The sequence below is a fragment of the Homo sapiens genome, chromosome 10, assembly GCF_000001405.40.
Source record: "Homo sapiens chromosome 10, GRCh38.p14 Primary Assembly".
Lineage (NCBI taxonomy): Eukaryota > Metazoa > Chordata > Mammalia > Primates > Hominidae > Homo > Homo sapiens.
Window position 1 is genome coordinate 72,933,713 of NC_000010.11, and position 24,466 is coordinate 72,958,178.

Consider the following 24,466-nt stretch of genomic DNA (forward strand, 5'->3'; position numbering starts at 1 on the left):
TTTTCTGCTTTTAGTTTTTAAAAGTTGCTATAGTCTGGACTTGGTGGCTCATGCCCGAAATCCCAGCACTTCAGAGGCCAAGGTGGGAGAATCCCTTGAGCCCAGGAGCTCAAGACTAGCCTAGGCAACATAGTGAGACCTCATCTCTACAAAAAAATTGTTTTAAATTAGCCGGGCATGGTGGTGTGCCACTGTGGTTCCAGCTACTCAGGGAGCTGAGGTGGGAGGATTGCTTGAGTTCAGGAGGTCGAGGCTGCAGTGAGCCATGATAGTGCTCCAGCCAGGGTGACAGAGTGAGACCTTGTTTCAAAAAACCCCCCAAATCCCAAAAAATTAAAAAAAATTGCTACAATTAATAGTTCTTAGTAGAATCAGTAAAATTAACAAAAGTAAGGGAAAGGAGAAAAAGATTTAGATAGAAGTCAGCAACTTTTTCTGTAACAAGCCAACTGGTAAATGTATTAGGCTTTCTGGGCCCTGCAGTGTTTGTCGCAGCTACTCAACTTTGCAGCTGTAGTGCAAGGAGAGCCACAGAGAATATGTAAACAAATGTGAGCATGGTTATTCCAAAAAAGGATTCAAAACCAGGCTTTGAGCCAGGTGTGGTGGCTCACACCTGTAATCCCAGCACTTTGGGAGGCCGAGGTGGTCAGATTATTTGAGGCCAGGAGTTTGAGACCAGCCTGGCCAACATGGTGAAACCCCGTCTCTACTAAAAAAACAAAAATTAGCCGGGCGCGGTGGTGGGCACCTGTAATCCCAGCTACTCGGGAGGCTGAGGCAGGAGAATCGCTTGAACCCAGGAGGCAGAGGGTACAGTGAGCCGAGATATGGCCACTGCACTCCAGCCTGGGCGACAGAGTGAGACTCTGTCTCAAAAAAACAAACAAACAACAACAGCAACAACAACAAAACAGGCTTTGGGCTAGGCTTGGCCCACGGGACTGGGCCGATTCCTGCTCTAGATTAGTGGCCCCCAGCCCTTCTGTGCAGCAGAATCACCTGGAAAACATTTATAAAATACCAGTGCATATTTACTGGTTTGTTTTAAAGGATCCTCAGGTGATTCTAATCCATAGTTAGGCTTGAGACCCGCAAGTTAGGGAATGGCCACTTGTCTCTCACTCCCGACAGGCTGCAGGGACTTTTCCTAGCTAGCTCCATCAGTAACTCTTAGCAAGTACATCTCAGATCTTAGCATGACTCTAACACCATTTAGTAACTGGGAATACCAATGGGGTAGGTCACCGGAGGGAAAAATGAATCCTCAGAGACCTAATTCCATCTGACCTTCCCCTCCGTTGGCCTTAATCAGGTAAGCCTCTGAGCCTGCCCACCTGTTTTTCTCTGTTTAGCATCAGTGGGAATAACTGTGGTCATTGGTGGAACTTACCAGGTTCAGTTTTGGTCTCTTCTAAGTGAAATGGAAGCACATTGGTGATAATGGAATTCATTCATCTCTTTCCAAATGTTCTAAAAAGTACACTTTATTAAATGTGAGAAGCTTACTGGCAACTGAAACATGGGCCAGCAGAAAGTCATTGCCTCCCAAATGGCTGGACTCCCCACAATTTCACTCATGAATATAACTATCAGGTCCAGGAATTGCAGGGTTTGCTTGCATTTTAGTCTTTAAGCTAAGAACTGAATTTCCAGGCAAATGTGTCTTGGTTGGGGAGAGCAGTCTTAAATGAAGAGTAGCTTTCAAACCACTCCATGTCTTTTTTCAAATTTCCTCAAAGGATAGGACTCACTTTCCAGCTGTAGAAAAATGTTCCCTTTCTCCTGCTTTGTGGTGTCCAAACTGTTGGAAGAACGAATGAGTCACGCTGACTCGAAGACTTGACATCTTGAAGGCTGACAGCTGTGGTGTCACTCAAAACCAGGAAGGAATCACTTCTTCCTCATAACTCTTCCTTCTCCTCCTCTGCACAGATGCAAGCTGCCCGCTGACTATTCATAAAGGGGCGGCAGCCCAAGGTCCACACGGTGTTGAACACAGTGTCAACCAGGGAATCACAGGCTGCTTGAAAAAGATGAAGAGGGACAGAAAGGTTAACCCTGAGTAATTTTGAAGAGTATTTCCAGGCATGACATGATACCCAGAGGAAAGTAGAGACAGTAATCCAAATACAGAATTCAAAGGAAGAGCATCCATTTCAGAGAATGTTCTCAGAAAAGCTCCCATCCAATCCAGTAAAGCAGAAGACACCTGGAGGTGCCCTCGCATGTGGGCCCTTGGTCAAAACAATGGTGAGCAACCAGAACCCCCCACACCACCATGCTCACTCCATGGAGAATATTTTTTGCAGAAGACTCCCTCACATGAACAACTATGTTTCCCATAGCTTTCCCATCTATGGCCATACCACCCAGAACACACCGAATCTCGCCTATAGCTTTCACTGTTCAAGTATTGGATGAACAACCATTCATTGATGGAAAAACATTTGCATGGCTTGGATATGTTGGTTAGCCACTGTCTTAGGAGCCAAAGATACAGAGACAAAAGGCATCCTCAACTTAAGTACTCCACAGTTTGGATAAAGAGGTGGACAGGTAAACAGATAGCTACACTACCTCATGATGAAAATAACCTCAAGGTGGTATGGAAGCCCACAGAAAGGGTCTCTATCCCTTTGCAGCAAGGGTTATTAGGAGAGGTATCTTAGAGTAAGTAAGATATCTAAGTTTAAACTTCAAGAATGGTCAGGAAAATGAAGTACTGATGCATACCAAAACATGGATGAATCTTGAAAACATTATGCTAAGCACAAGAAGCCAGACACAAAAGGCCACATATTGTATGATTCCATTCATATGAAATTTCCAGAATAGGCAATCCATACAGAGAGTAAAATAGTGGTTGTCTAGGGCTGGGGTGGGGTAGGGGAGGTAATGAGTAGTGACTGCTAATGGCTACAGGGTTTCTTTTGGGACTAATGAAAATGTTCTGGAATTAGATTGTGGTGATGGTTGTACAACTCTGAATATACAAAAACCACTGAAGTGTATACTTTTAAAGGGTAAATTTTACGGTATGTGAATGATATATCAATTTTTTTAAATTGGTTCATTGAAAAGATAAAAAATGTTAACAAACTTTTAGCTAGACTAACCAAGAAAAAAAGAGAGGACTCAAATTACCAAATTAAGGAATGAGAGAGAAATGTCACTAACAATCTTATAGAAATAAAAAGGATTAGGGCCGGGCACGGTGGCTTACGCCTGTAATCCCAGCACTTTGGGAGGCCGAAGCAGGCAGATCACGAGGTCAGGAGACCTCCTGGCTAACAAGACCATCCTGGCTAACACGGTGAAACCTTGTCTCTACTAAAAATACAAAAAATTAGCCAGGCGTGGTGGCGGGCGCCTGTAGTCCCAGCTACTCAGGAGGCTGAGGCAGGAGAATGGCGTGAACCCGGAGGCAGAGCTTGCAGTGAGCCGAGATCACACCACTGCACTCCAGCCTGGGCGACAGAGCGAGACTCCATCTCAAAAAAATAAAAATAAAAAGGATTATAAGGGAATACTATGAATACCTACATGCCAAAAAATGTTGATAACTTGGATGGAATGGACAAATTCGTAGAAAGACGTGAACTGCTGAAACTGACTCAAGAAGAATAGAAAATATGAATAGATTACTAGTGTATATAAATACAATTACTAACCCAAGCTCGTGATTTAGTAATTAAAAACTTCCCCAAAGAAATCCAATTCTACTTGGCTTCACTGGGGAATTTTACCAAACATTTAAAGAATTAATATCAATCCTTTCTAAGCTTTTTAAAAAATTAGGAGAGAAGGGATCACTGCCCAATTCATTTTATGAGGTCAATATTACTCTCATACCAAAACCAAAGACATCACAAAAATAACAATCTATAGACTAGTATCTCTTATGAATATGGATGCAAAATCCTCAACAAAATAGTAGTAAACTGAATCCAGTAACATATAAAAAGGTTTACATCATGACTAAGTGGGATTTAGCCTAAGAATGCTAAATCATACTAAAATCAATTAATATGATACACTACATCAATAGGATATAGAACAAATACCACATGATCATCTCAATAGATGCAGAAAAAGCATTTGAAAACATCCAACACTTTTTCACGATAAAAACACTTGGCCAGGTGTGGTGGCTCACGCCTGTAATCCTAGCACTTTGGGAGGCTGAGGCAGGAGTTCCAGACCAGCCTGACAACATGGCGAAACCCCGTCTCTACTAAAAATACAAAAATTAGCTGGGCATGGTGGTGGGCACCTGTAATCCCAGCTACTCAGGAGGCCAAGGCAGGAGAATCGCTTGAACCCGGGGTGTGGAGGTTGCAGTGAGCCAAGATCACACCACTTCACTCCAGCCTGGGTGTAAGAGTGAAACTCCATCTCAGAAAAAAAAAAAAAAAGAAAGAAAGAAAGAAAGAAAAATTAAAAGAAAACATTCAACCAACTGGGAAAAGAGGAGAACTCCCACAACCTAATAAAGGTCGTCTAATGACAGTCATAGCTAACAATCATTCTCAATGGTGAAAGATGAAATGCTTTTACTCTAAGATCAGGAACAAGACAAAAATGTCCACTCGCAATACTTCTATTCAATGTTGTGTTGGAAGCTCTAGCCAGGGCAATTAGGCAAGAGAAAAAATTTAAAAAATCCAAATTGGAAAGGAAGATGATATGCAGATGGCATTATCTTATATACAAAAAAGCCTATGGAATCCATGAAAAAAAATATTAGAACTAAGGAGTTATTTCAGCTGGGTTGCAGGATATAAGATCAATGTACAAAAATCAAATGAATTTCTATACATTATTAATAAATAATCTGAAAATAAAATTTAAATACAATTACATTTCAATAACATTAAAAAGAATAAAATACTTAGGAATAAATTTAACAGAAGTCCAAGATTTGTACTGTGAAAACTATAAACACATTGTTGAAATAAATTAAAGAAGACCTAAATAAATGGAAAGGACATTGATATAAATATAATCTTGTTAAGATGGCAATATTCTCAAATTGATCTATAGATTCAACCATAACCCTCTCAAAATTCTAGCTGCCATTCCTTGGAGAAATTGACAAGCAGTTCCTAAAATTCATATGGAAATGTGAGGGATCCAGAATATCCAAAATAGTCTTGACAGAAAAGTACACAGTTTAAGAACACATCTTGATTTCAAAATTTACTGCATAACGACAGTAACAGGCAGCATGGTCCTGACATAGATCAGTGGAATAGAATTGCGCATCTAGAAATAAATCCTAACCTTTATGGTCAATTGATTTTTGACAATGTCCAGAATAGGCAGTTCTAGAGGTAGAAAGTAGATTCATGGTTTCCTCAAGCTGGGCAGGGGGAGTTTGGGGAGAGACCGTTAATGGCCCTGGGGCTCCTTTTCAGGGTGATGAATATGTTCTAAAATTGACTGTGGGATTGACTGCATAACTCTGTGAACATATTTAAAAGCATTTAAGTGGGTGAATTGTATCATGTGTGAATTGTAGCTTAATAAATCTGTTTCAACAACAACAAAAATGAATGATTAGGGCGTTTCACACAGGGGCAGAAAGGAATGGGCCATCAACCCAAGGAGTTTGATTCACCAGGTTGGAAACACTTTGTGTAGAATCTACGAAGGGACATTTCTGAGCCTACTGAGGCCCATAAGGAAAAATCAAATATTCTGTGATAAAAATGAGAAATAAGCGATCTTTGAAAATGCTTTTTGAGGATTCACCTCACAGAATGGAACCTGTGTTTTGATTCACCGGGTTGGAAACACTCTTTTTGTAGAATCTACAAAGGGACGTTTCTGAGCCCATTGAGGCCTATAAGAAAAACATCTAATATCCCGTGATAAAAACTAGAAACAAGCTATCTGAAAATGCTTTGTGATGTGTGGATTCATCTCACAGAAAGGAACCTGTGTTTTGATTCACCAGGTTGGAAACACTCTTTTTGTAGAATCTACGAAGGGACAGTTCTGAGCCCACTGAAGCAGGAGTCAAGAGACAGACCAGAAATGCCCAAGATAATGGTGGAGAGGAAGGCTAGGGCTGAATCAGAAAGGGCCATGTATGGCATACTGAGGAGTTTGGATTTCATCCGTAAGGAGGAGGAATCTATTGAATGATTTACACAGGGGGTTGAGATGATCACATTCATGTGGCATATCTGGTCCCAATGGTGACTATCAATTAGATGGGACACAGAGACTGGGTTAATTTGCAGTAACCAGGCAAGTGGGATATGAAAGAGATATTTGGGAGAATGAATCAACAGGACATTGCTTGCAGGAAGTAACTTGACCTGACCCTAGATTAGCAGCAGGTACTTTTTCAGCCTCTGCAGAAACAGAATAGAATGATACTCCCTTTCATAGGGCACACTGAATTATTCACATTTCTAAGCCCTCACACCTTCACCTCCAGACTGCACTCTAGACATTGATCTATGAAAAGATCCAAAATTCTCTCTACTGCAGACACTCTCTGTGGTGTGGAGCCAGCTCTTTATCAGCCTACATTTCAACTCTTACCATCTAAAAATAGAAAATGCTAATTCATACCTGGATACAATATCCTGGCTTCAGAAACTGAGACAGTAAAAACTTTTCCTAAGTAAATTAGGAAAAAGAAATTATAGAGTCGGTGCTAGAATCTAGGTAGCAAAGCAGTTGTTTAAAATAACTATCCTTGCTGGGCGCGGTGGCTCACACCTATAATCCCAGCACTTTGGGAGGCTGAGGCGGGCAACATGGGCAACCCCATCTCTACTAAAAATACAAAAATCAGCTGGGCATGGCGGCGGGTGCCTGTAATCCCAGCTACGTGGGAGGCTGAGGCACAGGAATCGCTTGAACCCGGAAAGCAGAGGTTGTAGTGAGCTGAGATCCCACCACTACACTCCAGCCTGGGCAACAGAGTGAGATTCTGTCTCAAAAAAAATTTTTTTTAATTTAAATAAAATAATTATCCTCAAGTATATAGAGACCTTTATGCAGAAAAGGTTTTTTGAACTCCTACCCTGACTGAAAACAAAATTACAAAAAAAAAAAACTTAAGCCAAACCAAGTGGTCCTATAAGGAATAATTCCTGATATGGAAAATTATTTAACAGTGGAATGGATAATCCAAGCCAGTTGGGCAATTCCTTCTCCAGCCTTAAATGATAGATTTTTATTTTTCTGGGAAGACTTTGGTGTAGTCTTTTACCTTCAGGAGTGGTGCCAGCAGCTCGCGGGCAGGACAGCAAGAACTTGAGTGAAGGAGTGCCCAGAATCTTTCCTTCACCATTTCTTGCTCAGCCACAGTGTTCCATAAAGAATATTCAGTGAGCTCTGATGATCTCTTCGAGTCAAGGGGTTCTGGCTATATCTCGGTGTGAAAACAGGAACAAACCTCCCTGTGCACTGTACGTGCCATTGAGACACCTACCTTCCACTTTGGAGACAAAGCCCAGACTCCGCTTAAGGTCAGAGCAGATCGAGTGGAGACACCATCGGAATTTTGCATCACAGCGATATTTGTTGGCACCGCAAGTGTCATAACAGACATCCAGCTGGTTGCAGCACTTTGTCATTGCTGGAATGCCCAAGTCCATCTGGGGAAAAGTGAAGGAAGGGAAAAGAAGGGGAAGAAATGCCACGTTTAGACTAAGGACCTTAGGCAACCTTGCCCACCTTGTTATTAACTAGCTGGTTCTCACATTTCTGTTGCATATCCCGATCAATTCAGAAACACCAATGACTCAGTAGAATACCAACAGTCACAGGATTACAAGTGTTCATTGTTACTTAGTTATTAGTTCAGTAAGTGATTCTGGCCATTTTTCACCTTTTGTTTTTTCAGATGTTAGTAATTTTAAAATTCAGAGGCAGCTTACAGTAATGAAAATAGAGACCAGAAGGGTAGTCAAGAGAGCAGAACCATAGGGCTTCTAAATTTAATTAACACTTAACAGTCCCATATGAGATTTTGTGTGAGCAAAGGATTCTACGGCTAAGAAGTATAAAAAAAAATTCAGCCTCCGTTCATCAAAAGATCACCAGCATCCCAGACAGCACTATTTTAAGGGTGTGCGTGTGTGTGTGTGTGTGTGGGTGTGTGTGTTGGAAAGTAGAGTGGGTATAGAACACACAGCTCCTGATCACAAGAGGACTGTGGTCAAACCACAACATCTCACACACACCCATCATTACTAAGCATCCTATAAACAACTGTAAATGTAGTGGCATAAACTGTGTCACTAAGTTCATAAAATGCCACGTGTCTGGGTACGGTGGCTCACGACTGTAATCCCAGCACTTTGGGAGGCCAAGGTGGGTGGATCACTTGAGGTCAGGAGTTCGAGACCACTCTGGCCAACATGGTGAAACCCCATTTCTACTAAAAATACAAAAATTAGCAGGGCGTCGGGTGTGTGTGTGTGTGTGTGTGTGTGTGTGTGTGTGTGTGCAGATTTCTATGATGTCAGCTCTCCAAACATAGCCAATTTGGCACTACTAACATGAAGTCAGCTGCTTGCAAAAGTCATGACAATATGTAACAATCAGCTCTCACTGGCCAGCACCAGCTGGCTCTAGCACATCACTGGAATGGTTCACTAATTTCAATAAGTCAAACCTGTCAGATCTATCTCAAATTAAGTTATGTCATGATGCCCTAAGCCTCAGCTGACATTTTCAGTGGTGATTTCAAAGTTCTGATCCACTACCAAGGGCTTATCTGAGGGACAGCTGTCCCTGAGAAAAGGAAATCAGATATCTTCTTTAAAAATTCTCTCCCTCATATCCAATTTAAAATACTTAATTGTATTCTTCAACTTTTTTCCAGAAATAATCACTTCCATCAAGGATAACTCTAGGATTGCTCTCAGTCAAAACCAACCAACCAAGAAGGTAATGCTGGCAGTACATACACTTTCTGGTACCTTGAGACCCAGGAAATAGGAGCCGCAGCCATTGGGCTCTTGGGGCTTGTAGCCAGGTCTGGGCATTGGTGCCTTTCCTTGCAGGAGGAAGAAAGGAAAGAAGCAAGAAGAAATATTTAGAAATCAAGCATTTGGGAACATTCATCAAATGAAAATTTTCTAAAAGCATATTTCACTTTTTCTTTAAAAGTCACTGTTCCTCACATCCAAATCAGGTGATGATGATGATGATGATGTCACAGAAGAATAATGACTTTCAAACCACTTTGACTTTTTCCCCTAATCTCAAAAAATTTCATGAGCACTTTTTTTTTTTTTTTGAGACAGGGTCCCTCTCTGTTGCCCAGGCTGGAGTGCAGTGGTGTGATCTTGGCTCACTGCAACCTCCACCTCCTGGGTTCAAGCAATTCTCCTGCCTCAGCCTCCCGAGTAGCTGGGATTACAGGCATGTGTCACCACGCCCAGCTAATTTTTGTATTTTTAGTAGAGACAGGGTTTCACCATGTTGGCTAGGTTGGTCTCGAACTCCTGACCTCAAGTGATCCACCCGCCTTGGCCTCCCAAAGTGCTGGGATTACAGGCGTGAGCCACCACACCCAATAAGCACTTATTTACTGACATTTCTAATGTTTTTTAAGTGCATAACATTGAAGATAAGGGCCATGGCAAAACCCAACTAAAACTCAAGGTTCCTCATTCCTTCACTGCAAGACCACACACCACTCAAAGAACAAGCAGAACACAACTTGATCGTACACTTAAGGAATCCGAATTGTAGCAGCACCACAAAAGGGTTTAACTTGCAGGAAATTCAAGCAAGATTCCATAAACGTAGACAGAGTATTATTGAGTAAAGAGCAAAGAAATTACCCTGATGTGATATCTTAGGCATTTCTTTCATAGAACTAAGCAGAAATGATCTGAACAGCTTTGAATTTCTGTTTTTTAAGATCTTTCAAATGTGTAGAGAGAAGCTTTATCAGTTGTATCAATGGCAGTGCTCACAGGTAAAGATAACCTTGACCTGAGATGACCTCAGGACAGCCATCTGCAGTGGGTATTTTATCCCATTATCCAGATAAGAAACTCGGGCTAAGAGGTCGCATGACTTGCCTACCATCATAGAGAAAGTGGGGGAAATAGGATATAAAGTCAGATTTCCTGTTTGTCTCCAAAGCCTATGCTCCTTCACCACATATCTGCCTCTTTTTAGGAGATACAAGACCCTAGTGTAAGACTGGGGAAATGTGCTAAGAATAATTAATCCTTAGAGTAAGGCATATGACAGTTTCTTTCTTTCTTTTCTTTCTTTCTTTTTCTTTCTTCCTTTCTTTCTTTTTCTTTCTTCCTTCCTTCCTTTCTTCCTTTCTTCCTTCCTTCCCACCTTCTTTCCTTCCTTCCTCCTTTTCTTCTTCTGCTTTTCTTCTTTCTTTCTTTCTCCTTCCTTCCTTCTTCTCCTACCAGGTATTTATTTTTAATTATTTTATATCATGAAATATTTCAAAACTGTTGAAAAGTCAGAGAAACAAACAGCCATGTACCAAATGCACAAACATAATAAATGTTAACATTTGCCAAACTTGCTATAAATTTTTTTTAATTAAATGTGACAGTTCAAGTACAGGTTCAGGTGCAGTTGAAGCCTCTTTGCACTCATCATTCTGTTTTAATTTTTAGATACTAAGTTTATGTTTTAAAGCCCTCACTTCGTATCATTCTGCAAAATTGTCTTGATTATTCTTGGACCTTTACTCTCACAAAGAATTTTGCAATTTTTTTGAATTTGTAGAATCAACTTAGTAAATTCTACAAGAAAAATGGCCAAGAATTTGATTGAAAAATCCATTGAATGTATAGATTTGGAGACAACTGCCTTTCTTAGGATACTCAGTCTTCCCAAATATGGACACGGTATAGTTCTCTATTTACTTAGGTCTTTCTGTATGTCATTCAACAGAGCACTGCAATTTTCTCCATATTGTATATTATACTTTCTATATACCTATATTATTCAGATCCTTAAACAAGATAGAATATCTCATAAAAATCCAGAGCTAAGACTCATGCCTCTGGTATAGTAAATCTGCACTTTCCTGGAACCCAGGCTGCTTCTAGCTTTCTGCTCTACCAGCCCTGGAGTGTAGCCCTGGCTCTCATGGTCTAAGATGGCATTTCAGCCAACACATCCATATTACCTGTAGCAGGATGGCAGGAGTTGGAAGGGTCCAGCCCCTCTCTTCAGTAAACACACTCCAGAATGTTATACACGTCACTTCCTCATACTTCCCTCTGGCCAGACCTTAATCAAATGGCAAAATCTGGTTGCCAAGGTGGGCTAGGAAATGAAGTGGGCAGCCATGAGCCCAGCTAAAACGTGGAAGGAGGGGCTTTATACTGTAGAAAAGGGGAAGAATGGATATTAGGGGACACTAAGCAGTTTCTGCCACAGTTTGGGTATTTGTTGCTGTGATACATGTGGTTATAAGATTGTGGTCCAAGATGACTTCCAATGATCCCCACCTCCTGGTATTCACCTCCTTGTATATAGTCCCAGGAGTGGTCTGTGTGACCCAGAGAATACTGCAGAAGTGGAGGTGTGTTCCTCCTAAGATTAAGCTATAAAAGACCATGATTTCTGTCTTGGGCTCTCTTACTCTCCCTCTCTCTCACCGTTCACTCTAGGGGAAGTTATGTCATGAACAGTCCCATAGAAAGACCCATGCGGCAAAGAACTAAAACCTCCTGCCAATAGCCACATGAATTTAACAAGAGATCCTCCAGCCCCAGCTGAATCTCCAGAGATGGCAGCATCAGCTGGGCAGCATGACCTCAACTTTATGAGAAACTGAGCCAGAATCGCCCAGCAAAGCCACTCCAGGATCCCTGACCCTCAGCAAGTGTGTGATATAATCTTTGCTATTGTAAGCTGCTGAGTTTCGAGGTACCTTTTTGCTCAATAATATATAACTGTTGCAGTTGCCATTATGATGTTTTTTTTTTTTCAGATGGAATCTCGCTCTGTTGCCCAGGCTGGAGTGCAGTGGTGCGATCTTGGCTCACCGCAATCTCTGCCTCCCAAGTTCAAGTGATTCTCCTGCATCAGCCTCCTGAGTAACTGGGGTTACAGGCACGCACCACCACACCCAGCTAATCTTTGTATTTTTAGTAGAGATGGGGTTTCACCATGTTGGCCAGGCTGGTCTCGAACTCCTGGCCTCAAGTGATCCACCCACCTTGGCTTCCCAAAGTGCTGGGATTACAGGCGTGAGCCACCTTTCCTGGCCTGCCATTATGATTTTAATCTCTTTGTTATATTTTTTCTATGACAGCTTTATTGAGCTATAATTCATATATCATATACATTCACTCATTTAATGTGTACGATTCAATGGTTTTGGCATATCCACAGAGTTGTCCAGTCAACACCATAATCTAATTTTGGAACATTATAATCTCAAAAAGAAACCCTGTACCCATTAACCACCTCTCCCATCTCCCTACCCCCAGCCCTAGGCAACTCCTTCATATGAATTAAATCATACAATATGTGGCCTTTTGTGTCTGGCTTCTTTCTCTTAGCAAAATGTTTTCTGGTTTCATACATGTTGTAGTATGTATCAGTACTTAAGTTCTTTTTATTGCCAGAAAAACCTTCCATTGTATAGACATACCACATTTTTTTACCCATTCATCGGTTAATAGACATTTGGGTTGTTTTCACCTTTTAGCTATCATGAATAATACTGCTACTAATATTTGTAGACGGGTTTTTGTGTGAACATGTGTTTCATTTCTCCATAAGAATAGGATTGCTGGGTCATATGGTAACCCTGTTGAACATTTTAAGGAATTGCCACACTGTTTTCCAAAGTGGCTGCACCACATTCCCAGCAGCAATGCGTGAGGGTTCCCATTTCTCCACATCCTCACTAACACTTGCTATTGTCTGTCTTTTTTATTGTAGCCATCCTAGTGGGAGTGAGGTGGTGTTTCACAGTAGTTTTGACTTGCATTTCTATAATGATTATGTTGAGCATCTTTTTATGTGGTTATTTACCATTCATATAAATTCTTTTGGAAAATGTCTACTTAAATCCTCTACCCACTCTATAACTGAGTTATTTATCTTTTTACTGTTGAGTTGTAAGTGTTCTTTATATATTTTGGAAGCCTTGTCAATTCTGCAAATATTTTGTGCCATTCTGTGGGTTGTCTTTTCACGTTTTTGATGGTGTAACTATTTATTTGTTTTCATCTTCTTTTTTTTTTTTAAGAGATGGGGTCTCACTCTGTCACCCAGGTTGGAGTGCAGTGCAGTGGCACAATCATAGCTCACTGCAGCTTCAAACTCCCAGGTTCAAGTGATCCTCCTATCTCAGCTGTCCAACTAGCTATGACTGCAGGTGCATGCCATCATGCATGGCTAACTTGTAAATTTTTTGATAGAGATGGGGTCTTGCTATGTTGCCCAGGCTGGTCTTAAACTCCTAGGCTCAAGCAGCTCTCCAACCTCAGCTTAATGAGCTGCTAGAATTACAGGCATGAGCCACTGTGCCCTGCTTCTTTTCATTTTCTTATTTTATTTTATTTTTTGAGACAGGGTCTCTCACTCTGTCACCCAGGCAGGAATGCAGTGTTGTGATCTTGGCACACTGTAGCCTCGATCTCCAGGCCCAAGCAAGCCTCCCACCTCAGCCTCCCTAGTAGCTGGGACTACAAGTGCTGTCACTGCACCTGACTAATTTTTGTATTTTTTTGTGGAGATGGGGTTTGGCTATGTTGCCCAAGCTAGTCTTGAATTCCCAGACTGAAGCTATCCATCCATCTCGGCCTCCCAAAGGGCTGAGATTATAGGCATGAGCCACAGCACCCAGCCTTCTTTTTCTTATTGAGGTGAAATTCAGATAACATAAAATTAACCACCTTAAAGTATGCAATTAAATACATTCACAATGTTGTACAACCATCACTTTTATCTAGCTCAAAAACATTTTCATCACCCCCAAGGTAGACCTTGTGCCCATTCAGCAGTCATTCCCTGTCTCAGGCAGTTTGGATGCTATAACAAAAATAACATAGACTGGATGGCTTACACGGCAGAAATTTATTCCTCACGGTGCTGAAGGCTGGGAATTCCAAGATCAGGGTGCCAGTGCATTCTGTGTCTGGTGAGGGCCTTCTTCCTGGCTTGCAGACGGCCTTGTCTTCTCTTCTTTCTCTTTCTCTTCTTACGAGGACACTAGTCTCATCATGGTAGCCCCACACTCAAGATAGCGTTTCAGCTCACTACAACCTCCGCCTCCTGTGTTCAAGCCATTCTCCTGCCTCAGCCTCCTGAGTAGCTGGTATTACAGGCGCCTGCCACCACGCCCGGCTAATTTTTTGTGTTTTTAGTAGAGACGGGGTTTCACCATGTTGTTCAGGCTGGTCTCAAACGCCTGACCTCAAGTGAGCTGCCCTCCTTGGCCTCCCAAAGTGCTGGGGTTACAGGTGTGAGCCACCTTGCCCAGCCAGAGAGTGAAACATCTTTTTAATAATTTTGCTGAAAAGGGCATTTGCCACAGACTTGGCTCGGTTTCTTGGGTTACCCTCTGCCTTTTTGCCCTTGATAACTCACAGAAGATAAAACTCTGCTATTCTAGTTTGAAAGATACCGGAATGGAATTCCTATCCGGCCTGCAGCTGATGATGGTTATTTTTATTTTATTTAATGTTTTATGTTAACTGCAGAAATTCTATTTAGAAACGAAGCTGAAAATATAAGTTCTAAGACAAAAGGTAATGGTTTCAGTCTAGGCAGAAACAGAAATCATTCAAGGATACCATATCCTCAAATTATTGTTTCAGTAGCTTATGGTTGATGTTTTAAGTCTAGGCATTAATAATGTATCATATCCACACATGTTTTATTTTCTGGCTGGAGCTGTTTATAGGAGTGAGAGGCCGACAACTTGATCCTGTTCAAATTCAAATTTTAGTGTTCATAAAAAAAGTTTTATTGGAACACAGCCACACTATTATGATTTAGCTATGGCTGCTGTCACAGAAAAAACAGCAGAATACTGTTCTAATCTTGATGTGAGGATGATTTTCTAATCAAGACATAAAATTCAGAAGCCATAAAGAAAGAGACTGACAGATTTGATCTTATAAAACTTAAAAGCTTCTGAATAAAGTGAAATACCATAAAAGTCTTAAAAGACCAACTGGAGGGAGATCGAGAAGTGTTAGCCAAGAATCCCAAGAGCTCTACCTGCCAGCGGTAGACACTGCCTCCCGGGCCCGCCCTTTTATCTCTCTGTCACTGGAAACAGCAGTAAAAACTTTCAGGGCTTTGTGTCCCAGGGCAAGAGTTTTGCCTTCCCGGGAGGGTGCGTCCATCCTCTCCACCCAGCTGGTTCCCCCAAAGGTGCTAGGAGGGAGTGAGTATGCTTTATTAAAAGGTACATCTGCAGCAAACCACTGTGGCACACATTTACCTGTGTAACCAAATTGCATATCCTGCACATGTACCCCAGAACTTAAAAATCAACATTAAAAAAAGGATTAACATTTATATTTCCAAAAGAAATTCACGGGAGTGCTTTTTTCCTATCTCGGACAGCAATAGTTCCTATCACTCTTCTTTTAAATTTTGCCACTCTGTTGGCTAAAAGTGGTATCTCATTGTTACTTTAATTTGTAAGCCCCTGATCAATACTGAATTCGACCATATTATTTGTATGCAAACCATTTAGTTTTTCTTTTCTGTTAATTGCCTATTTCCATTCTTTGCTCATTTTTCTTTTAGATCTTTTGCCTATTTCTTCACAGTTTGTAAGAACCTTTTTGTAGTATACATATTATGTCTTTGTCATTTGTTTTACAATTTTCCACTCAATGATATGATTTTTCTATTAATATTATATTGTTACAAAGAACAGATAATGATAACGAATGAATAATAAGAGTATTTACTAAACTATTATAGGCATGGCTTCATCAACAACCCCAACTAGCTGTCTCAAACATGAGAAAATAAAATAATTTCCAGGCCGGGCGCGGTGGCTCACGCCTGTAATCCCAGCACTTTAGGAGGCCCAGCAGGGGGATCACCTGAGGTCATGAGTTCGAGACCAGCCTGGCCAACATGGTGAAACCCCCGTCTCTACTAAAAATACAAAGTAACTAGGCGTGGTGGCGCATGCCTGTAATCCCAGCTACGCCAGGAGGCTGAGGTAGGAGAATCATTTGAACCTGGAAGGCGGAGGTTGCAGTGAGCCGAGATAGTACCACTGCACTCCAGCCTGGGTGACAGAGGGAGACTCCGTCTCAAGAAAAACAAAATTCCAGAAAAAAAAAAAAGAAAGAAAGGTATGTCCTCCTTCCTCCCAGAAACACTCAGATGCACCATGATTAATACATCAATGGAACACAGCAGGACAGAGGCAATTCTCCTGTAGAGAAGAACTCTGTATTTCAGTCACTAAAACAGATTAAGTTACTGCATAAAGTAGGGTGAGCAACTTGTCCTGGTTTGCCTGGTACCCGTCCCGGTGTTAGTACTGAAAGTCTCACATCCCAGGAGCATCTCCCCTCCTCCTTGAGTCCCCAGCAGACTAGGAGGTCAGTTGCCCAAAAACAAGAATAATCTGTTTGCCTCTAAGCCAGTGGCTGTTTTCTTTTTTTGGGCTCTGGATTCCCTGGAGAATCTGATGAAGTCTTTGAGTTATTTCCCTGGAAAAAGATACAAACTCACAGGTTTATAAAATTTTGCTGTAAAACTTCAGATAAAAATTCTCTTTAAAAAATAGACTGATATTTATTTTTATTTATTTATTTATTTGTTTATTTTTGAAACTTAATCTCGCTCTGTTGCCCAGGCTGGAGTGCAATGGCACGATCTCGGCTCACTGCAACCTCTTCCTCCAGGGTTCAAGTGATTCTCCTGCCTCAGCCTCCCAGGTAGCTGGGATTACAGGGCGCGCCACCACGCCCGGCTAATTTTTGTATTTTTAGTACAGATGGGGTTTCACCATGCTGGCCAGGCTAGTCTCAAACTCCTGACCTCAAATGATCCGCCGGCCTCAGCCTCCCAAAGTGCTGGGATTACAATAGACAGATATTTAAAGAAACTTTTAAGATACTCTTGGAACTAAATCCAGGAAGAAATTCATTTTCAGGATCTTTTATTAAAGTGTGAAAGCGTGAACAGTATCATTATAGAAACTACTCCATTGACCCAACTCCAGAGACCTTCATGAGGCAGATAACTCTTCAGTCGTTGTTCCCTCGAGGGACTTCTTCCGGAAGCTGAGAGGCTGTTGTCCAGCCACTGGGATTTCTGGGATTTTTCATTTTTACGTTGAAAGAGAGCTAGAAGAATCTGAATGCAATTAACCTGTTCACTAGACTGTCTTTCTCATAACGTTTATAAAATTTGTTTGGTACCTACCATGCTTTATATATACCACTGATTCTTTATGTATATTATCTTTAATTCTCACAACACCTTTGCAAGGTGGGTATTAGTAACATTATTTTTACATATTTGAGGAAACTAAGGTTGAGAGAGTCAGATAACTCACCCAAGGTCACCAGCAATGGGATATTTTCTCCTAAATTCAAACCCATGATTTTTCCATTACTATGCTTATTTCTCAAAGTCTGGTTCAAAGACTACCCATTAAAAGTGCACTTCCAAGGTCTCACCACAGACCTACTGCATCAGAATCTCTGGAGGTGGAAAAGGTTATCTATATTTTGGAAGCGATTCTCAAGGAAATCTTGTTTGCATTGGCACAGACTCCTTTTTTTTTTTTTTTTTTTTTTTGAGGTGGAGTCTCGCTCTGTTGCCCAGGCTGCAGTGCAATGGTGAGATCTCAGCTCACTGCAAGCTCTGCCTCCCAGGTTCACACCATTCTCCTGCCTCAGCCTCCCGAGTAGCTGGAACTACTGGCACCCGCCACTACACCCGGCTAATTTTTTTTGTATTTTTAATAGAGACAGGGTTTCACCGTGTTAGCCAGGATGGTCTCGATCTCCTGACATCGTGATCTGCCTGCCTTGGCCTCCCAAAGTGCTGGGATTACAGGCATGAGCCACCGCACCCAGCTGGTAGAGACTCCTTAATAACAGTTGTGCTAGGTATGCCATTGACACACGCTGGATCTTGTCATATTTATAGCCCAGTTGTTTGACAAGTACAGATTTTGTGTGTTGGCATGAGAACAAATTACTTTAGATATGAGAAGCACGGAAAACAATGTTGACATGCTATCATGGGCTACCAGGATACATACACAGTTTTATCTGCCTGCATAATTTAACCTGTGGGCTGAAGTTCTCTAAGAATGACGTCATAGAATGGCACCCCTTTACCTTGGCTGTGCTTTGCAATCACCTGGGAAAAATGTTAAAATACTGATGTCTGGGGCCAACCCACAGAAATTTTGATTTAATTGATTTGGTGCCAGGTGTTGTTAAAGCCCCTCAGGTGATCTGAAGTGTACCCAAGTTAGAAACCCACTGTTTTAAATAGTAGTTAGTACCTATCAAAGGTAAAATCTGGCTGGTGCCGTGGCTCACGCCTATAATCCCAGCAATCTGGGAGGCCAAGTTGGGAGGATTGCTTGAGCCCTGGAGTTGGAGACCAGCCTGGGCAAGATGGTGAGACTCCCTGCTCTACAAAAAGTTACAAAATTATCTGGGCATGGTGGCGCACACCTGTAGCCCAAGCTAACTGGGAGGCTGAGGCAGGAGGATCTCCTAAGCCCAGAATCTCCTACTAATCAGAAACACCTGGGGTGGGGCCCAGAGATCTGGTTGAATCTGCCCTCCAGGGGCTTCAATTCACAGGTGAGTTTGAGAACCACTACTTAAAAGACGAGCACGGTGCATGAGAGATGTGTCACAAAGCAAACTACAAAAGAGCAGACTCGTTGTTAGGTGTTGTCTGTTCAAAAGATTGCTCGATTCACAATCAGTTTGAGAAGGTATTTTGTACTCTTTTGGGCACAGCCGCCAGGTTTTTGGCTCTACTGGGTTCCAAGGTAAGGAGGCATAACCGCCTATTTTTCTAAGTGTTTTTCAGGCCCCTCTTTGAGCAGGTTGTTTTACACAAAGTGAGAAGAGTTATTTGCCTTTCTCTTCTATTTACTCTTCCCATCCCCCACCAGTTGCTGCTGGCTTCCACCCTGCCCAGCCAGAGGCTCCGCAACTAAAATTTGCTTAAGTCTTTTAATGCTGTTTTGCTAGAGAAGGAAGAATAGGATTTGGTTCTTGATTTCCTAATAAAAATTCCTGCTGTTGCCTATTTGCTGAACTACAGATACTAGTCCTGTGTTGCCTTTAGGAAGGAAAACACCTGTGTTGATTCCAATGTCTGAAGTGAGTCAACCCCTTCCCTGTCCCATCCGTGCAAACAGTGTGAGCATAATCCAGTGGCAAGGCCTCTGCGTTGGTCCAACTGCCTTGGACAAATACATGGTTTTAGGGCCAGGTGGGTCCTAACAGACCAGGCATTTTTCTCTGTGAAACTTTCACAAAGAAGCTGCAGCATAGATGGTTAAAACATAGATGGTTAAAACATAGATTTTAACCATAGATTGTTAAAACATCTATGCTGCAAAACTTTGGGTCCTGATGCAATGATTAACCATTACCTCCTAGTCACTCTTAGTGTATAAGGAAGCGATTTTCCCCACTCAAAAAGGAATAGAGAGACTTAAGGGTGAGTCCGGGAAGTATGTAGTTTTTTTGTGCATCTCTTCAAAGCTGACTTTTTCTCTGTTGAGTATTTGGAGAAAATATTTCTCAAATGTGTTTTCCTGTTAGGCTAAATTGACTCACCATTTTCATTTCTAATCCCTTGATGAGATAGTTGATAAATTAAACCATAAAACTAATGCTACCTGAGACCTGAGACTGTGCATGCTTTGGAAAACGTTTTCATGCGCATTGGCAATTACACGATGCCACCCAGCTTCAAGGCCTGGGGCTCCACATTTTGCTCCCCTTACATTAACTTCCAGGGCCCCTGGGACCAGGGGCTCTGTGCCGGCAGCCAGGTGTGCACCTTATATCTGTGTACCCCCAGCCATATTCAGGCAAGGTAGGGGAAGTGCTCCTGCCAGCTCACAAATCTGCATCTGGCGCCAAGTCCAGGGGACAGCCCCGGGATCCCTGGTGAGCCACGAACCCTTCCTCTCCACAGCATGCCTGTCGTTGCCGAGGCTGCAGGCAGGGACAGCTCCCTTGAGAAAGTCCAGCAAATTGATGCCAGTCAGGGACTGAGAGCTGGGAGGACGGTGTGAACTGCAGCAGGGGGAAGGGAGAATTTGTTTCCAAGCTGAGCACAGAGCAGCTGAGGAGGTGGTTTTGCCCCATGGCAGATTTTTCTCTGAATGTTCGGCTTCAGTTTTCATCCCTGGGAACTCCTCACAGAGGCCTCTCATACCCACCCTCCTTCTTCCCACCCCAGGTACCCTTTTTTCCTAAGAACTGCCTCACAACAAACTCATTAAAATGGCCCAGGGAAGGTTTCCCAGATACAATACAGGAAGCTCAGTGAAATGTGAGTTTGAGATAAACAACGAAGAATTTGTCAGGATAAGTATGTCCCAGATATTTCACTGGACATACTTATACTAATGACTTATTTGTTGTTTATTTGGATTTCACATTTCACTGGGTGTCCTACATTTTTATCTGCTAAATCTGGCAGCTCTAAGTGGATAACAGGAAAAAGTGCAAGACAGATCGTGACCTCTCTGGGGCTGTCCATGGGTCCACCAGCAACAGTTTTTACAGAAAGAGAAACCGCACACTCACCATATCGGCACCTGTACTGACAGACTCCATTCTTCCCTCCCAGCAGCTCCAGAAAAGAATCGAAGTAGCTATTGACGGATTCAAAGCTTCCCCGGAGGTGCCGAAGGCCCCAGTCTGAATAGGACTCCTCCGTGTCAGGGCTCGTGTCGCTCTGAGCCAGGCCACCCCCAAGGCTGAGCCACAAAACCAAGAAGCCACTGGCCAGCTTCATCCTGCAGCCAGGTAGGTACTGGCTTCTCTCCTCAAACCCCAGCCAGTGTCCCAGAATTCCAGGGACAAACCCCCTACCCAGATGTCAGGCAGGACTGGGAAAGGGATTATCTGGAACATTCAATCTGTCTGTTCCCCAGAGGTGGACTTTAAACATAGCTATGGAGGTTGGGATGAGATCAGGGCAATTAGAAAGAGGGCAAAGGTTAGGGAGTGGGAGGGCCAGGGAGAGAGAACATTTCAAAGTGGATTCTACCACCCTGGAGGGAGGGAGATGTTAGCCAGCTTCTGAGACGCAGGAACGGTGAAGGATTCGGAGTTCTACCCCGACCAGCTTGTTAAGCTGTTGATCAGTTACAAGTGTGGCTCTTCAGGGCCAGCCTCTTGATAGAAGAGCTTGACCGAAGGTCCTAGCCACACCCCTCAGCCAGCTACCTACATAGTCTCCAAGGAGAGTCAGGAGGATGTGTACAGGGCCCAGGAAAGCCCCAGCGGTAGGAATTAATAGTCACTTTACCAAGGGTCACGATAGTGTCAGAGTAGGTACCAAGTGTGTGTTAAGCAGAAGTTCAGATTTGAGACCCCAGCTTCTGCTGTGGAACCCACCTGGCTCTGACGCATAAATCCTCTAATTTGGCAGAGCTCCCAGATGTAGCCATCTGAGTGCAGGGACATTTTGGCTTCTATTTACAGCAGTATCTCTGTTTACACTCAGCATAAGTGGATCATAAGACAAGATCTACAGATGGTCCAAGGACAATTCTGGGGGCACTCGGCTCTCCTGGTGGTGTTTTTCCTTTGAGTTTCTTAGAAGTCAGAGGGTTTATCAAATAGTCTATTTGGGAGTGTAGGCTTTTAAGACTGTTGACTGAAGTCTAGTGTTTTGGCATCGTTTTCAGTTTAGACTGCTTTTAGTCGTGTGAAGAAATGCCATCTATAAAATCACTAGTCTAGGACCGGGCATGGTGGTGCATGCCTGTAATCCCAGCATTTTGGGAGGCCGAGGCGTTTGGATCACCTGAGGTCAGGAGTTTGAGGCCAGCCTGACCAACATAGCGAAACCCCGTCTCCACTAAAAATACAAAAATTAGCCAGGCAAGGTAGCAGCCGCCTGTAATCCCAGCTACTAGGAAGGCTAAGGCAGGAGAATCACTTGAACCCAGGAGGCGGAGGTTGCAGTGAGCCGAGAGCACGCCATTGCACTCCAGCATGGGCGACAAGAGCGAAACTCTGTCTCAAAAAAATAGTAATAATAAAATAATCACCAGTCTATAAAAATGATACCTTTATGGACCACATGAATCATTTAGCTCCTTTCTCAAATGTTTGTCTGGAAAGCCCCATGGAAAATAATGAATTAAATGAATTAATTTCTTCATTTTCAGTAAATGTGTTTGGCTGAAGACTCAGACTCCAGGAAGGGCAGTGGTTAAAAATTATTCATAGTCACAACAATGCCACCCAATATTTTAAAGCATCTATACTTTTTCAAACCACTTTCATGCATATGCACATACACAGAGGCACACACATACACATGCACATATGCACAAATGTTCATGCCAGTTTCATGAAGCAGATTAAATAGTCCCATTTGGGGGTGAGAAAACTGATGCAGAGGGTAAGTGACTTGATCAAAGCTGGACAGGCTATCAATGGGAAAGCTGGCACCAGGGCCAGCTACATAATTTGTAGGGCTTCACCAAAACAAAACTGCAAATGCAGAGCTCCTTTTCCAAAAGCAGGGGAACTTGCCATTAAAATACTAACTATAGGCTGGGCGCGGTGGCTCACACCTGTAATCCCAGGACTTTGGGGGGCCGAGGCAGGTGGATTGCCTGAGGTCAGGGGTTCAAGACCAGTCTGGCCAATATGGTGAAACCCCGTCTCTACTAAAAATACAAAAAGATTAGCCCGGCGTGGTGGCGTGCACCTATAATCCCAGCTACTCAGGAGGCTGAGGCAGGAGAATTGCTTGAACCAGGGAAGTGGAGGTTGCAGTGAGCCAAGATCGTGCCACTGCACTCCAGCCTGGGTGACAGAGTGAGACTCTGCCTCAAAAAAAAAAAGCTAACTATAAAGCTTTTTCCTTTAAAAAATGTTTTATTATTTGTAAAATATAATAAGGTTAATAGAGATACATGAGTATCAATATATACATAAATTTTTTAAAAATTGGTGTCATAATTTTATATAATACTATATATTACTTTATAAGTATGCAATATTTTGATCATAGGATTTTTCTGACTTTTCTGAAAATTCATTGATTAGGTCATCAAAGTTTATACTTCTAACAACCTAATTTTCAATCAGTGTAACTGAAAGTGATGTCAGTTGCTCTTGGCAATTGTAAGATGGCAAGAAATATTTGATACTTTTTTGTTTTGAGAAGGATCTTTTTGCTGATGCAACTGTTACTAGAGCTGTTAATAGTATTGTCCCCCCATTTCTTGAAACTTTATACATGTTTAAATTGTGGTAAAATATACATAACATATTTACCATTTTAACCATTTTTAAGTGTGCAATGCAGTGGCATTAAGAACATTCATACATTGTTGTGCAACCATCACCACTATCCATCTCCAGAACTTTTTCATCATCCCAAACCGAGACTCTGTTCCCATTAAGTGATAAGTCCCCATTCCCCTTTTCCCCAGCCCCTGGCAGCCACTATTCTACTTTCTGTTCTTAGGAATTTGCCTATTCTAGGTACCCCATATAAATGGAATAATATAATATGTGTCCTTTTGTGTCCAGCTGATTTCACTTAGTATAATTTTAAGTTCATCCATGTGGTATGTATCAATACTTCACTGAGAATACTGCTGCTATGAATACTGGTGTACACATACCCATTCAAGTCCCTGCTTTCGATTCTTTTGGGTATTATATACCTAGAAGTGGGTTTGCTGGATGGTAATTCTATGTTTAACTTTTGAAGAACCATTATACTGCTTTCCATAGTGGCTGTACCATTTTACATTCCTGCCAGCAATGGACAAGATTTCTAATTTCTCCACATCCTTGTCAACACTTGTTGTTTTCCTTTTTTTTTTTTGACAATAGTCATCCTAATGAATGTGAGGTAGTATCTCATGCATCTCCCTCATAATTAGTGATGTTGAGCATCTTTTCATGTGCTTATTGGCTATTTGTATATTTTCTTTGGAGAAACATCTATTTAAGAAGACCTTTGTCCATTTTTCAATTGGGTTTTTTGTTATTGTTGAGTGTCAGAAGTTCTTTATATACTCTGGATATTAATCTCTTATCAGGGCCGGGCATGGTGGCTCATGCCTGTAATCCCAGCACTTTGGGAGGCTGAGGTGGGTGGATTGCTTGAGCTCAGGAGTTCAAGACCAGCCTAGGCAACATGGCAAAACCCCACCACTACAAAAAAATACAAAAATCAGCCAGATGGAGTGGTGTGTGCCTGTAGTCCCAGCTACTCAGGGGGCTAAGCGGGGAGGATGGTTTGAGCCTAGGAG

The 24,466-nt window shown here is 42.2% G+C and overlaps 1 protein-coding gene and 1 long non-coding RNA gene across 5 annotated transcripts, besides 1 other annotated feature; one reads left to right on the forward strand and one right to left on the reverse strand.

The window, feature by feature from the left end:
* PLA2G12B (phospholipase A2 group XIIB) lies at window positions 1,050–21,094 on the reverse strand. Of its 3 annotated transcripts, none has more exons than NM_001318124.2 (4): window positions 20,763–21,094; window positions 8,940–9,028; window positions 7,457–7,622; window positions 1,050–2,023 (listed from the first exon to the last, which is right to left on the reverse strand). In NM_001318124.2, the coding sequence occupies exons 1-4, from the start codon at window positions 20,971–20,973 to the stop codon at window positions 1,905–1,907; spliced, it is 585 nt and encodes a 194-aa protein (NP_001305053.1). In that variant the 5' UTR covers window positions 20,974–21,094; the 3' UTR covers window positions 1,050–1,904. The 3 variants fall into 3 exon arrangements, with proteins under 3 accessions (NP_001305053.1, NP_115951.2, NP_001305054.1); NM_032562.5 differs by having other exon boundaries at window positions 1,050–2,026; NM_001318125.2 differs by lacking the exon at window positions 8,940–9,028 and having other exon boundaries at window positions 1,050–2,026.
* Window positions 1,759–2,053: a silencer, noted in NCBI's record as "tiled region #12879; K562 Repressive DNase matched - State 8:EnhW". NCBI's record gives its function as "represses a minimal TATA promoter and a strong SV40 promoter by Sharpr-MPRA in K562 cells {active_cell/tissue: K562}" and the evidence as "EXISTENCE:reporter gene assay evidence [ECO:0000049][PMID:27701403]".
* On the forward strand, window positions 8,434–11,996 carry LOC124902451 (uncharacterized). 2 transcript variants are annotated; one of them, XR_007062191.1, is made up of 3 exons: window positions 8,434–8,919; window positions 11,634–11,872; window positions 11,957–11,996. It is a non-coding gene; the product is annotated as an uncharacterized LOC124902451 (long non-coding RNA). The 2 variants fall into 2 exon arrangements; XR_007062192.1 differs by having other exon boundaries at window positions 11,634–11,848; window positions 11,957–11,990.
* Window positions 21,095–24,466: the final 3,372 nt, after the last annotated feature.

Coding starts and splice junctions, on each gene's coding strand:
- PLA2G12B (NM_032562.5), bottom strand. CDS start 20,973: ATGAAGCTGGCCAGTGGCTTCTTGGTTTTGTGGCTCAGCCTTGGGGGT. Junction 9,029..20,762: donor TCAGTACAGGTGCCGATATG/GTGAGTGTGCGG, acceptor TCCTCCTGCAAG/GAAAGGCACCAATGCCCAGA. Junction 7,623..8,939: donor GTCTCAAGGTACCAGAAAGT/GTATGTACTGCC, acceptor ACTTTTCCCCAG/ATGGACTTGGGCATTCCAGC.